Here is a 16,121-nt window from a genome sequence, read left to right on the forward strand (position 1 = left end):
GTTTTTCATTCCTAATGTGCTAAAAATGTAATTTGTGCAGCTTTTTTCTTTTGAATGCTTTACTTTATAAAATATATAATCATTTTAGAAAATTTAGAATAAAATATTCCATTACTTCAAAATAACCACTATCAGCCGGGCAAGGTGGCTCACGCCTGTAATCCCAGCACTTTGGGAGGCCGAGGCAGGCGGATCACAAGGTCAGGATTCGAGACCAGCCTGGCCAACATAATGAAACCCTGTCTCTACTAAAAATACAAAAATTAGCTGGGCATAGTGGCAGGCACCTGTAGTCCCAGCTACTCAGGAGGTTGAGGCAAGAGAATCGCTTGAACCCTGGAGGCAGAGGTTGCAGTGAGCTGGATTGCGCCACTGCACTACAGCCTAGGCAACAACGAGACCCCGTCTCAAAAAAATAAAAATAAAAACCACTATCTAACGTTCTGTGTTTTTCCCCCTGTGCTTGTGTGTGTTTTTTTCATGGTTGACAGCAAAATCCCTTCTATTTCATAAATTAAATAAGACATAAGTTGGGAGGCCACACACACCTTTTCACTTTCAGTATCCAGAGCTGATGTAGCTTCATCCAACAGGAGGATTTGAGGTTGTCTGATGAGGGCTCGGGCAATAGCAATCCTCTGTTTTTGACCTCCTGAGAGCTGAGTCCCCTTATCTCCCACTCTTGTTTCATATTTCTGCAAGTTAACCAAATTATAAATATGTTGAATGAACTGTTGCTTAACAGTTGACAGTTCTATTTACAAGAAAAACATTTAGAGTCAATAACAGTTTCTATAACGTTGTTTCAACTTAACAGAGTGTTTATTTTCAAAATCAAACTAGAAAACTAGTGACTTTAATTCTCAATGGTATTCTACAATAGGCTATCTTATAATTAACTTTCTTTAAAATAGGAGGAGGATACTCTAAAATAACAAATGCTATAACGGATATATGAATCAATAAGTCATTTGTTGTCATTATCAAGTATTATGCACTGTACATAGTAGTATGTGCTATACTCTTATACAACTGGCAGTGCAGTCGCTTTGTTATGCCAGCATCACCACAAATACTTGAATTTTGTGTTGCACTATGATATTATGACAGCTATGTCACTAGGCAATAGGAATTTTTCAGTTCCATTATAATCTTATGGGAACCACTGTGGTATACGCAGTCTGTCATTGACCAAAATGTTGTTATGTAACACAGGACTGTAGTAGTATACACAGCACACTATGAAAGATCAGAAGAAGGAGATAGAAGTTGTTATGGAGACAGGGTAGAAGGAGAAAAAAGGGGAAATAAATGAAAGAAATCTTTTTAGAGAAGTTTGGGGAGCTAGATTTTGAGAGAGCATTCTAGGCTGAGAAAGAGCATATGAATAGAGATGTAAATTGAGTCAGTTCAGTTTGCAGGGCTTATGCAGTGATGTATATCATGTGAATTAATTTCCTAAGGTCCAGTGGTCACTTATATTAAGAGCTGAAGCTGTAAATTTTTCTATTCACAGTCAAATCCAATATTTGATTCAGGTCAATGTGCATTAAAGGTTGGTAAGGCTAACCAAAATGAAAGGGTTTTAAAATTTTATTTGTGGGTGTGAGTGATTTCTAACTATAGCAGAAAATAAAAGCAAAAATAATTAAGCTCTACGTCAGTGTAACCCAGTGGAACCCCGAATGCTGGAAGAATGCCATAAAATGAATTGTCCCTACCATCACTTTTAGGGACCTCAAGCCATCCTTCCAGGGCTACACATGTTTAAAGTGAACTAAAAATGGATCATGGACTGAAATTTAAAATGTAAAGCTATAAAACTTTTAGAAAAAAACATGGAGAAAATATTTTGGGCCTAGGGCTAGGCAACGAGTTCTTAGACTTGACACTGAAAGCATAATCCATAAAAGGAAGAATTGGTAAATTGGACCTCATCAAAAGTAAAACTTTTGCTCTGCAAAGACCTTCTTATAGGATGAATAAACAAGCTACAGACTGGGAGAAAACATTTACAAACTACATATCCAACAGTAATTACAATATGTTAAACAAACAAACAAAAAAAACTTCTGAAAACTCAGCAGTAAAAGATAAAAATCCAATTAGAATATGGGCAAACAACATGGAGACATTTCACCAAGAGGATATATAGATGGTAAATAAGCATATAAAAAACTATGTTCAACATCATTTGCCATTGGGAAATGCATATTAAAGCCACAGTGATGTATCACTACACTCTTATCAGAGTGGTAAAAATAAAAACTAATGACAACAGTAAATGCTGGCAAAGATTCAGAGAAACTACATCACTTACACATTGCTGGTAGGAATGTAAAATGGGATGGCCACTCTGGAAAACAGTTTAGCAGTGGCTTATAAACTAAACATGAAATTGCCATACTGCTCCACAATTCTACTCCTGGGTGTTTATCCCAAAGAAATAAAAACTTGAATTCATACAGAAACCTGTATACAAGTATTTACAGCAGCTTTATTTGCAATAGCCAGAAACAGGAAATAACCCAGCTATCCTTCAACAGGTGAATGGTTAAACTGTGGTACATCCACACTGTGGAATATCACTCAGTAATAAAAAGCAATGCCTATGAATACACACAACTTCAGGGAATTAGCTGAAAGACAAAAGTTAATCCCAAAAGTTTACATACTGTATATATTTTTATAAAACATTTTTAAAATATAAAATTATACAAACGGAGAACAGATTCATGTTTGCCAGAGTTTGAGAGGAATGAGGGTGGGAGGAAGGGATATATGCATGGCTCTAAAAGGGCAATATGAGGGATCTTTATGGAGATGAGAATGTTCTGTATCTTTTTTTTTTTTTTTTTGAGACGGAGTCTCACTCTGTCGCCCAGGCTGGAGTGCAATGGTGTGATCTTGGATCACTTTAACCTCCGTTTCTCAGGTTCAGGCGATTCTCCCGCCTCAGCCTCCTGAGTAGCTGCAACTACAGGTGCCCACCACGACGCCTGGTTGATTTTTGTGTTTTTAGTAGAGACAGGGTTTCACCATGTTGGCCAGGATGGTCTCAATCTCCTGACCTCGTAATCCACCCACCTTGGCCTCCCAAAGTGCTGAGATTACAGGTGTGAGCCACCGTGCCTGGCCAGTGTTCTTAATTAGTGGATCTATGAATCCCCATCTGCAATACAGCTGCACAGAACTAAATCCATATGCAAATGAATGCAAGTAAAACAAGGGAAGTCTGAATAAGATGAGTGGAGTGTATCAATATCAGTATCCTGCTTGTGATACTGTATACTAGTTTTGCAAGATATTGTCATTGGCAGAAACTAGGTAAAGGGTACATAAGATCTCTGTATTCCTTACAATTACATGTAAATCCATAATTATCTCAAAATAAAAACTATAATTGTTTTAAAAGTACCATAGGGCTAAACCAAACATGACTGCAGTCTAAATGCAGCCCTCAACCACCAGTCTGTAACCTGAAGTATGGTGGTTTTGAGCTTCTCACTACATTTGTATGAGGTAGGCATAATGTATTCCCATTTACAAATAAGGAAGCTTGGTATCCTGAAGTGCCTTGTCCAAGTTGTTAATGTTAGTAAATCAACATATTTTGTTACAAGATTTTGTTGGCATAACTTTGGTAATTGTTTGGGGGATAAAAAGTAGTCTCTTCTGATTTCAGCTACTCTTTAACTTACGTGGGGTAACGTCTCGATGAAAGGATGTATGTTGGCAGCTTTGGCTGCACTCACAATTTCATCCTGTGATACAACCCGGCTGTTGTCTCCATAGGCAATATTCTCGGCAATGCTGCAGTCAAATAGGATAGGCTCCTGAGACACGATTCCGAGTTGAGCTCTGAGCCACTGGACATTGAGTTTCTTTGCTTCTTGACCATCGAGAAGCTGAAAACCAAAGTCCACAAACTATAAGAAGGGTATAAAAAAGAAAAAAAAACTAAAAAGTTACTAGATTGTCCATTTGGAGGATCGTTGCATGAGGGTGTCAGCAGCTTCAAAACAACAACCCTCCAAGACTTATACCATTGAGGCCAGCATGGCCAACATGATGATTTTTATGGTGATTAAGCCATCCCTATCTTGGTCTAACTGGCAAAATGGTAGCACATTTGACCCTCTTTTTTCACACTTCTCTTTGTCCTTGTCTGCCCTCCTCCAGCCATCTGTGTCCTACTCTGCGTTAAAGAAGCCTGCATCAAGGTGTCCCACTCAGGTCTGCTGTCCCCAGAATAATCCTAACCCTTCACCTTGACTTGATTTCCCCTTCCCCCATGCACAGCAGTGAAAAAGCTGATCAGAAGCAGGGCCCCAAAAGCTGGTTGACTCTGGTCCTACCTCTACCTCTCTTTTCCCTGAAAACTACTAGCCTTAACTTTCCCTCACCTCTCTGATAGCACTAAGGACAAGAATCCCATGGAAAAGGAACAAGTTACAAAGGGCAGTGTCTTTGGGAGGATTATTTTTGCTGGCAGTGATGGTTTTGTTTTTGTTTTACTTGCTATAGGCAGGAGGCATGGTGCTCCTAGGGAAGTGTTGTAATATGTACTTGAAAATACAGCCTCGTGTAAGGTAAAGCTTACAGGCAAAGGAATAGACACAAGTCCAGCTAGTCTTGATCTCAATAAAGAAAAAAATTCCCACCATCGTATCAGCACACCATATTTACAGAGTTTTGGTGAGCTGGTTTGCCTATGTTACCTGCAGAATAGCTATAATAGCAAAGCAGAAGATTTCCAGAGAGAAACAACTAAATTAGGCTTAACAAGGCTGATTTAGGCTTAACAACTATTAATAAAAGAAACAAGGCTTAACACTTTGGTGACTGTCTAATGGGGACAGGCTCCCAGGGCTCTGTCATGGGTGCTGTCCCAAGGTTATGGCAGATACAAGCATTATCAGTAAGAGTTGGTCTTCACTCAAGGAAGAGAGCCACGGGGCTACATGCTAGAAAATCAATGACAAAAGCCAAATATGAAAGGGCTGGAGGTTGAGGATCAAAGTCAAAGTTCGAGAGCCGAGAATTCAAGGTAAGAGAAGGCAGCAAAACTGAAAGCGGTGGGGAGGCAATAAGCAGGTAGCACCCTGTTTTGGAAGTCAGCTTTGAATTTGGGCAGGAGTCTGTAGTTCACCTTTATAAGCCAGTAAGTCAGTATTTGCTTAGAACAATCAGACTGACTGGAAAGGCCCATGACAGGGTAAAAATTAAACTTATATTCAGTATTTTCTGAGCTAGACTGAATTCCAGACATTCTGTCCTATTGTCCCCATATATTTCCCAGATATGGTGCCAGTTGGGGTTTATAGAATGTGGTCATTGTATCAAACAGGATTCTAGGTCTACATTTGTCCAATATTTTCCATTATGACAATATTGGTTGGGCCAATTAAAATATAGCCTTCAATCAAGTTATAAGGAAATGTGCTCACCACTGTCCCCGCCAAGGGGTCGTAGAACCGCTCCAGGAGCTGGACCACCGTGCTCTTCCCACAGCCACTGCTGCCCACCAGGGCTAGTGTCTGGCCTTTCTTCACCTCCAGGCTCAGCCCCTGAAGCACTGGCACGTTTGCTCGGGTGGGATAGTTGAACACGACTTCATTAAATGTTATATTTCCTTCAAATTTATCCTGAATAAATGTTTAAATGTTGCTATTATAATTGGCCTGATAATTATTGGAATAAGAAATATTATTTCAAGGAAACTTTACCAAAGACTGTAGTAGAGAAACATAAAATTCATATTTGGTATAGTTCTGGTGCCAGTTAATATTGATAGCAAGTTATTATGGTGTGAAATGAAGGTGAGAGATAGGGGTATAGGTGAGATTAGACAAAAAGTCATTACCATGAGTTGTTATCTAACTTAGTTTCTGATTTCTTTAAGATATTCATTTAGCTTTCCCAACTGCTTATTCTGAAGCTGGAATCAAGCCAGTGTCCAAAAGACTCTAAAGGCTTGGAAATTTAGCAACAGTTTCTACCCAAAGTTTCAGTGGGCAGCCCTGATGGCAAACCCTGGCAGTTTCTTAAGTTCACTTTCTTTATCTCACTCACTGGGCACAGCAATTTTATCAGAACATGAAATACCTGGGAAAGTCCTGGAAAGACTGTGTTAAGTCCTAGCCTCTTTACCTACACAGCTGCTTGTATATTACAACGTGTAGCATCTTGTGTCATACAAAGAACACTCAGATGTGAGTTTAAGTTACCTTTATAGATAATAAAGCACAGGATTATTACTCTCATTGTGAACGAACTGCCCTTCTTACCAATTACATCTTAACTATTATAAAAAGTGATTAAAGTCAAATTACTAATTGCATTAACATGGCAGAATTATACCTTTATGTAGAAATGACTAAATTTTTGTGGAAACTATTCAGTTCTAATATATCTGGTTTTCCCTTTTTTTTTTATTTTGATGTGCTAAACTTCAGGATCCTTGAAACCACCTATAAAATTTTTAAATGTCAGTCAAGTTGCCCAAATATTAGCTATATAAATATTACAAATTAAATGAAACACATGTTGGTGTAATCATCACAAACTTATCCTGTAGCTATAATCTAGCAGACAGCAAACCTTAGGGAAAAATTGATCAAGCATCATCAGGCATCAGAGAACTTACAGGCTTCAGCCCCTCTTCACTGTAGCTGTCAATCAGAGGTTGTCTTTCAAACAGCATGAATAAGTGGGCTGCAGACAGCTTAGCTTTAGCATAGTCTGGAGCAAATGAACTGGCATGTCCTAGAGCCACTGCACCAAATACAATTGCAGAAAACACCCTAGACAGAAGTAGAGGAATTCAAAAATTAGCTTTTATAATTAACTCCATGATGTTTGAAAGTCTAAAGGTATAGTGCTTACCAGTATTTTTTCCCTTTACTCCTTAATCATCCCCTTTCTCCCCGACATACATTTTCATAAAATTCTAGTAACAAGAGAAATCTAGGAGAGGGGCAAGATCCACTTCCTGAGGGTTTACCTTTTCTCGACTTGCTTTCTGACTTCCCTTTGCATAGTAGCCCCTAATTTCTTAGGACTACTGTGACTTCCCAAAGGTTTTTACTTTCAAGAAGAGGCTTATAACTGAATCTGATCTGTGAGCTCAGCTAATTTTAGTTGCTGGTTATACTCTTTTTAGAGTTGAGGGAATTGAAGCACAAAGTGTGTAAGGGCCTTGATCAGTTCCAAGTAAGCTTTTTCTGATAAAGCTCTGGCCCTGACTTCCAGTTTGTGGTTTCTTCTGTACTACCACACAAATGATAATCATCATCACTGTAAATAATTTTTATTAGGGAAAATAAGCTTTTACTAGAAATAGCTTTTTATTTACAATTAAAATAACTATGCTATCAGTTATTATGCTTAGTATCTGGGTGATGACATGGTCTGTACACCAAACCCCCATGACATGAGTTTGCCTGTATTAACGAACATGCATATGTACCCCTGAACCTAAAATAAAAGTTAAAATAACTATTGACAGCACTCTGGAAAAAAAAGTCACCTTAAACTAAAGTTCTATTTTCTAATTATATGCTCTTTAAAGATGGATATTGATTATGACAACTTTTAGGAAGGGCTAAAGATCCTGAGATCTACAACTTCACAAAGCAATTTACTTCTGATACCAGCACTACCCCAGAGAAAGGAGTGGGAGTTCTCTACTAATAATGGAGAACTTTAAGTTTTCACCTTCAAATTTCTAAAGCTAAGATATTAAAAATGGGTTTTAATACCTAGGGGCTGGGATGAGAGGTATAGTAAAACTTTCCTTTAAATGCTTGACGAAAAGGTGAGTTGCCAAAAACTAAGTTTTAAAATAGTGATGAACAACCCACATGTGGCTGCATAGCTTCCCTGTACTGCCTAAAGCTGTCTTCTAGGTTTCCATAATTTAACATTTCAATGATTTTAAAAAAGAAAGGAAGCAGGAATAATGTGACTTTCCAACGGTTTTCACTTTCAGAAATGTTCTCAATATTTTTTATACAATAAATAGTTGTACTCTAAGTTGTAATCCCCAGCTGCTAGTTCCATTTGTCCCCCAAAATCACTCCTCACTTTTTACCCATCTCTACCTTCTATCCCCCTACTCCATGTCTGGGGATTCCAACTATCATGAACTGAATCAAAAGGTTTTCTTGTCCTCTGGTTTCATAGGATTTGGCCAATGGAAGGCACAGCAGAGGATAGGGAGGCTGGAAGGGAGTGAGGCCAAGGTATTTGTTTCTTTGGCTTCTTTCTTGTCAGATTGCTTGTGCAGTTGCTGTCCCTCCATCAAAGACCACAGAAAGCACCTATGCTGAGTTCTGGCTATCTTTCCCTTCTCTTGCCTTTAGGCTTAGGGTGGTAGCAGTTTCCAGCTGGGTATTGCTGGGGTGTTAACTTCCTTCTTGGGTACTGCTTACCTTAACACTTTCCAGGCCTTTGTAAATAGACCCTTTAGCAAACTCATCAATTAACCCATTTGCTGTGCCATTTGTTTCCTGCTGGGATCCTGATACAAAGATTATATAGATACATTTTTTCATGGTAATTTTAATTTTGGATGAAAAAAAAAACCCAGCTCTTAACACACTTTCGCTTTTTTGTCTTGACCCTGTTTCAAAAATGGCTGTTCACCACTGCTTTAAAATCATCCCACCAGAGCAGAAACATACCAAATGATCTTAAAAAGAGTTGCTTCCCTCTTTCAAGCCCAGATTGCAACCTAATGGAATGTGCTGAGCACATTATGAAAGAAGGCATCAAACAGAAAGACCAGTAGTTTGCCTTGGAAACCAAGGAAAAAGGAGAGGCTGAGAGGCAAATGTTGGCAGGGCTGTCTCATCTCAGGCCTGGTTAGGGAGAGAGTGCCTTTGCCAGACTTCCAACAAGTATTCCCATCTTGTTTTCCAGGCCATGTTTTGGTTGTAGATAATAGTAAGCTATATAACCCTGTTTTGAGTCCATGGTCACCAGCAACTTTCTAATTATGATTTTTTCTGCCTATATTCTATAATGAGAAAATTTGCATCATCCTGACCAGGATCATATGTACAACTAAAACTGTGCTTTCTGATCATTTTCATAAGCTTAATTGTAGCCCGCAAAATGAAACTGCACTTGGAGTATTAACAAGATCAGATCTCTGTGCCTGCCAGGATGGAAACTGTGGTAAATTTAAATCCCTGACCTCATCTTTGGACACAGGAGTCATTTTTTTCCTACTCTAAACTTTTGCATAAACCTACTAAAACCTTATTATAGAATAATCTTAATATTTCTAAAGCTACTTACAGAATAACATCTCTGAAGCGCATATGTCCATTCACAATGAGATATGCACCAAATCGAAAACAACCGGCATAGGAAAAATACATAAATGCTTGTGAGATACTAAAAGTAATTCCATAGATGTGTGCCTTCTGCACAGAATTCCTGAAAAGCAAATCAGTATACTTGTAACCATCTCTTCAGCCTCCTTTAGCGCTGTGTAGTGGAAAGAGCACGGCTTCTAAGTCTGGCCGAGTGGGTTTAAGTTCCACCTCCAGTTATATTAGTTTGGGTAAATGATAACTTCTCTAAACATTTATACCATGGAAATAATCACTGTAATGCAGAATTGTTTTGACAAAAACCATATAAATGTCTAGCACAGTGCCTAGTTCATAGTGGTTCCTCAAATGATAACTGATATTATTACATATTAATATCTGATGACTCCAATGTTCAACTCCTATTAAGCATAGTTGTTGTTTCAAAAATACCTAAAATGTCAGGATCTGAATTTAAGTTTGAATTATCTGAATGTGATTTACTACTATTATGTTGTTTCCTGTAACTAATTGTACTCTGTTAGGTTAAAATTCATGTTTCAGATTCACAAAAGTTGAGTCCCTGAAGTTTACATAGATATACACCAGAAGTCCTTTCCCAAGCTAGATCCTGCCAGCCGCCCCTGTATATAATTTATTTTGTACAGTTTCTAATTTGACTTCATGCTATACTTTATTGGCTTCTGAATCCTCCAAAAGAACTATAATTGAGTTACTCTCAAATATGAGGGTGTTTTTGGCAAAAGGAAAAATTCAAAGTATTACTAATTTGGATGGTTTAACTTATGTGCTGTGAACATGGTGTTACAAAACTTGAGCATTCTGTGAAGCTATTGAATCTTTAAATTATAACCAAGTTCATAATTAGCTTCACCTTTCTATTCTTCCTTAACCCTCCTTGAAGTTAAAAACAGGTCATCATTAATGGTGCATACATGTTTTATGTCAAACAACAAATGGACACAAAGGTGTAGCTGCATGTTATTTAGTATCATATGAAGTGTGCATAACTGAGGAGATGGCATAAATTGAGACTTTCAAAGATATCTGTTCAAATTTGCAAGTGTTCAAAACTACTGTTCCAGTCTGCAAAATTGTAATCTAAGTTGTGTTCAACTTTGTGTTAAAACATACTCATTTATAAAATCAGGCTGCAGTGGAAATGAGTGGCAAATGGTGCCATTAGGAGTTTCTTGAATTGCTCAACTATAAACCACTGAAATAGTCTGTGTTTCTTTATCTTCAGAGTAGGTTGGATCTGGTCCTCATTCAGAGAACAAATGAAATACTTTCCTCTGGAACATACCCAATAGCAAGTCTCACTTTTGGTTCAGTCTACACACTGCAAAGAAAGGTTTGAGCAATTCCTTAAAGGAATGTTTGTCTTAAGTCACCCAGATAGGTTATTTATGTTGCCTGCACTGATAACCAAAGACTGTGCAATTCTCTATATCTTTTACGTCTTGGAGACCTATTCTTGTTGTTTGCATAAGATGTAAAAAATATAATTCTGTGTCCTAGTCACATCAAAAAGCTACTTATTTTCAGTGACAGAATTGTTGAAAAAAGGCCACCCTTATAGTCATATCATTGTTTGGAGCAGCAGAGCTTTTATTATCTTTTTGGGACAATAATTCAGCCTTAGGAAAGCACTAGGTTCTTAGCAGGAATCATATGGTTCATTACCTGTAAGGTCCATACAATTTTTCAACATACATTGATTCAAATTTTCTTTCCTGGGTCAAAGACACAACTGTCCTAATATTTTCTATTGCCTCTGTTGCAATCTGTAACACAGAATAGACCTTCATTAGAAGTGGTGTTTTCACTTCTGAAATAATGAAAAATAAGCCCTAGGGCTCTGTCAAAAGTATCCTGAAGGTTACGTTGATAGGCTTTAATTTCCTTTAAATTAAAAACCAAAGGCATAATCTGTTCAAGACTAGCTTTATGACAAAACTGGTACTTCTGGCTGTGCTAAGTATGGTAGGCAAGTCTTTGTATGCTCAGGAAGGCTGATCAGCTAAGGGCAAGAACTGTGGCCTGGGAACCAAGGGCCTGGTTCTATTCCCAGCCTGCCACCAGGCAGTTACATGACTGGCCTTAGTCACAACCCCTTTGTGGCCTGGCTTTCTTCACAAGGCAGAGTCCTAAAAGAAAGGATTAGGCTGTGATTTCTAAGGGCCTATTGGAGCTGCCAATTATTTCCTCCCTGAGTATAACTTCTTATAAAAGCTGTCCACCCACAATGGGAAGGAGATCCCAATTGTCAACAACATGAGCATGCTTTAAATCCGTGATTAAATCAGAGTCAGACATCTGACTAATCTGGGTCAATCAGATTTGGTTTCCTGGCCCTGGACACAAGTTTGAACCGTGAGGCCCTGGGGCTTCAGAGGCTGATGTCACATTGGGTATGTGTAAGAAGCTGGTCTGAATATACAGCATCCGAGGAATGGAATAGATGTATAGGAAGACTCAGATATTAGAGCCTGTGGCTGTAAGAGCCAGTTACACACAAACTGCCTGTATTTCTTGCACTTTGGAGTGTCCTTATATCAAATCGCTTTTACCCAAACCAGCCAGAGCAGTTCTCTGATTCTTACAGCCAAACCACCCTTGACAAATGTTGATTGTCTGTGACTTAGCTATTTAGTCTAAATCTTAGTTCTGTAGTTGAGTCATCTAAACCAACAGCACATGGAGCATAAGATCTTAATTTTAGGTTTTTAACAGCTTTAAGACTTTTTTTTTTACCTCAGTTCTTAGCTTCTGCAATGAGCTGAAAGGAAGATATGTGATGCTTGAGACTGAATAACCATAGATTTTTCATTTGTAATAAAGATATAACAGATAGCAATTACAAGAATAGAGAAAAATTACTGAGCTTTTACTATGTCCAAGTATTACCTCATTCACCAATATGATCTCATTTAGCCTCACAACCTTGAAAGGGAAATAGTATTCCTATTTACACAGATGAGAGAACCGAGGCACAGAGAAGTTAACTGAATTGCCTTAAGTTCTAAAGTTAATAAGTAGCAAAGCAAGAATTCCAACTGAGACTATCTGATGTGGAGTCCATGTTCCTAAGCCATAATGCTATTCTGCTACCCCTGCTGTGTAATTTACACAAGGAGAAACCAGTAATGACTTGACACTCCTCTTGACATTCTAGTCATGGATCAACTCCCTTACGGGTTAGCTGTGGCACAGAGGGCCCTTAATCTCAGTGACCAGACAAGCCCTGGGTCAAGATGGTTATGAGGCAGTCTTCCCTCCCCACTCCCTGCCCAGTAACCAACACCCTCACTACCAAGCCCTTTTTGGAAAATTGGGATGGGAATACCTCAAACCCTGTTGTACTTTAATGATGATGAAACTGTACCCAGGTAAATGAGAGTGTTTCTTTTTAAATAGTGATTTGGGGTTTTTCTAGAACCTTCTTTCCGACTCTTAAGCAAGTGCTGACTGAGTAAACAATATTAAACTATGATTGAACTGCTGATATTAACATTTAAAACATTTTTAATCTTTCATATTTAAAATCTTTCATATTTCATATTTAATCTTTCATATTTCATAACCCTATTAGGTTAAAGTAGCTACTAAAAAAATTTAAACTGGCCAGTCTGAGTTATTCAATCTCTGATGCTTAGAATAACAGGGTTTTAGCTGGAAGGAACTTGGGGCAGTATCTGGTACAATTTCTCATTTTACTAAGGTAGGACATGAGGACTAGAGAAGTTGGGGATCTTCTCCAGCCTCACACACTGTGAATAGCAAGACCAAAGCTAATAACCCAAGATTTTGTTTTGTTTCAATACTGCTCAATTCTACCTGCTCTACTCTGACAAAATTCTAACAATTAATGGAGCTAAGACTATTAACTAGATTCAAGATGTTTTCTATCATGTAACTTGTCTAAGAAAAGTTTATTTTCATTCCATCCAACTGACCATTCTCCCATATGAAATGTGGAAAGAAGCAGGATTGAGGGGCAGGGGAGGAAACAGAGCTACACAGTGTTTCTTCAGCAGTTAGTTGAGACACTCAGAAGTCAAGGAAATGATGCCCTAAAGTACCCACAGCCAGCAGCCAAGAGAATCTTCAAGAACTCTAGACACCCAGGGGTTCCCAAGTCCTGGGAACCACATATTGTCCTAGCAAGCTCCAAGTCTTGGAGAGGATGCAGCGTGAAAATGAGGAGAGTGAATTCTGATGGAAACCTGGAGATACTATTATACCTAACGCTGCATGCAGCGGCAGCTGATGCTGATTACAAGAGGACAAGAAAGGATTTCACCAGACATAATTGGTTTAGTGGAAACATGGTTAGTCCGAATGTTAATCTTCCCTCTTAATATGGTGCCTCTGAAGCTAGTCACTCACCCAGTCTCTGACGCCTTCTTCCCTATAGAGATACTGTCTGTTCCACTTCTCATAACTAGTTAAGGTCAGTTGCAGTAATGCTTGTAAAAGGGCTTTGTAAAGTGCAATGCTATAAAACCTATATCACAATTTATATTTATTATCTGCTTCACTTCCTCATGTTTCAATAAAGGATAATAATTACATAAATAAGACTAAGAATGTTCATGGTTATAATCTACATGTGAACATTTCAGTGCATGTACTTGTAAATAAAATGTTTATGTGTAGATTTAGACACTTAAACACATATAAAGAGACCATATAGTAGAGGTAAGAGCTTTGAAACTAGACCTGAACTTAAATCCCAGCCAAATCTCTAACTTCTGTTTGAATCTCAGGTTCTGTATTTCTGAAATTGGGATAACAATAGTGCCTGCCTTATAGGATTATTGTGAAGATGTAATAAATTGGTGCATATAAATATGTAGCACAATAACTGGCACGTAGTAAGGCTCAAGTAAATGTTAAGCCCAATTGCCATTATAGTGAGAACCACAAAATTGAGGCATTACTGCCATCTGGTGGCTGCCATCTTAATTATAGAAATCACAGCCAAAAAGAAGAGGATCTCTTAAATGCCAGCACATGTCCGACCCTGAACAATTCACTTACAGTCTTCTGCATGAAGGTTTGTGAAACAGGGATGACATTTGTCCAAACAGTAGCATTTGGACATGAAGTAAAATGAAATGCACTTTGAATATTCAGAAGTTCTTTATCATAACTATGTTAAGTGCTTTCTATAGGCTCAACGTTTTATGTTAATCACCTTATATTTAAGTTCTAGACATTAATACAGTAAAATATTTCATACACAATTGACAATTATTAGTTGTAGTGGGCACAAACATTTAATTATTAAAGCCTGCATATCATGATAAATAATTCAAATAAAACACATGTCTAAAAACAACACTTAACACCAATTGAAATCTTATTTGACCTACCTTTCCAGCAGCTTCCAGTTCTTTTTTATCTCTTTTGGCATTTCCAGCCAACAATTTCATTTCAACAATTCCTGACACAGCAATAATTGGAACAACTGCTAATAGCAATAGGGTTAACTGCCAACCGTAGATAAATGATATGATAATACCAGTTCCAAGGTTAGCTATATTCTGTGCAATTAAAGCCAACCTGGTTCCTGTGGCCTGGGAGAGAAAAAGCACAAAGCAACTGTAGTTTTAAGCTCCAAATGCATGCGCTCCAGCCTTAGCCTCTTGGTCAGAATGATGAGTGGGTTCTATGCCTGAGCTACATTGGCTTACTTTCATTACAATAAACCCACAACACCTGTGCTTAACTCATGAGGCTCTGCAGACATTTCTTCATTGTGCCTTTACACTCTCATTCCTCTCCTGCCCACCTGAACCAACATTCTAGAACCAAGTAATCAACTTCTCTGCTTTGTGGATGGGCACTGGGGGTGCATGTATTTTTTCATAGATGCAATGTTCAAAGAGGAAACTAACTCCAATGTACCTGGGTAATTTTAAAGACCATTTAATTCAAAAGTGTAAAAGGGAAAGAGACCATCTGTTGTTACAAAGGGTACGTGTCCTAAGAGACATCCACCACAAAGCACATATAAGGATGAATTAGTGTTGTACCACTCAGAAAACAAAGGTGGCTGTAGCAACATTGCAGTCAGCTCTCTGCATCCATTCCTCCTTCTCCTGTTGTGTGGAAGCAGTGAGCTGCAAAGTAACCCACCTCAGCTAAAGGGGTGGGGGACGTAGGCCACTCAGAACACCACCATCCCCTGGAGACAGTGGTTCAGGGTGGGGCATGTGACCCAAATTAGCCCAAATTAGATTTCAGCAAAGGGTTTTTGTTTGGTGGTTGAGGTAGAGGTGTGTGCTCTCTTTCACTGGATGGGAAATAAGGAAGCCTGTAGTTCTAATTACTATTAGCAGCCATCCTGTGACTGCAGGGAATCAGCCTTGGGATAAAGCCAAAGCCAATGAGGGAACCTGGATTCTGGATTAAATCTGGAGGGGGCAGTGGGTCAATCAACCTTGAAGTTTAATCTTCTGCTTATTGTTTACAGCAGTTTTGATTTGAGCTTTCTGCTATTTCTAGCTGGAAGCATCTTAACAAGTGTGGGTATGCTACATGCTTATCTAAAACCATGTTATGTAAAAAACTACAAGTAGAGTGCAGTCTACCTACTCCTTGGACTTGGGCAGCATCTGTGGCAAGTCTTGTAGAAAGTGCACCAGTACTGTTTTTATGGTCATCAAACCAGCTCATGTCCTATGGCATAAAATACACGTTTATGTTAGTTCAAAATTAAAACAAGCAAAGAAAACCAGACAAAGCCTCCCAAAGCTCCAATGCTGA

At 38.5% G+C, this 16,121-nt stretch overlaps 1 protein-coding gene across 20 annotated transcripts in view; it reads right to left on the bottom strand.

Moving 5' to 3' along the window:
- The window catches only part of ABCB4 (ATP binding cassette subfamily B member 4), a 110,132-nt gene that overhangs the window by 36,691 nt on the left and 57,320 nt on the right, over nt 1-16,121 (bottom strand). For 7 of the 20 annotated variants that reach the window (XR_007060046.1, XR_007060045.1, XR_007060052.1 and 4 more), the window contains 8 exons: nt 15,951-16,034; nt 14,726-14,929; nt 11,031-11,131; nt 9,307-9,447; nt 6,650-6,806; nt 5,451-5,648; nt 3,702-3,929; nt 549-695 (listed from right to left, as the gene is read on the bottom strand). Coding sequence is in view for 8 of the 20 variants with exons in the window: in XM_011516308.4 (XP_011514610.4) it covers nt 549-695; nt 3,702-3,929; nt 5,451-5,648; nt 6,650-6,806; nt 9,307-9,447; nt 11,031-11,131; nt 14,726-14,929; nt 15,951-16,034 (1,260 nt within the window). In the remaining 12 variants the exon portion in view is untranslated. Of the gene's footprint in view, nt 1-548; nt 696-3,701; nt 3,930-5,450; nt 5,649-6,648; nt 6,807-9,306; nt 9,448-11,030; nt 11,132-14,725; nt 14,930-15,950; nt 16,035-16,121 lie in introns of those variants that run through there. The other 13 variants (XR_007060054.1, XR_007060050.1, XR_007060053.1 and 10 more) reach the window with 6 other exon arrangements.

The sequence above is a fragment of the Homo sapiens genome, chromosome 7 (assembly GCF_000001405.40).
Source record: "Homo sapiens chromosome 7, GRCh38.p14 Primary Assembly".
NCBI classification, from domain to species: domain Eukaryota; kingdom Metazoa; phylum Chordata; class Mammalia; order Primates; family Hominidae; genus Homo; species Homo sapiens.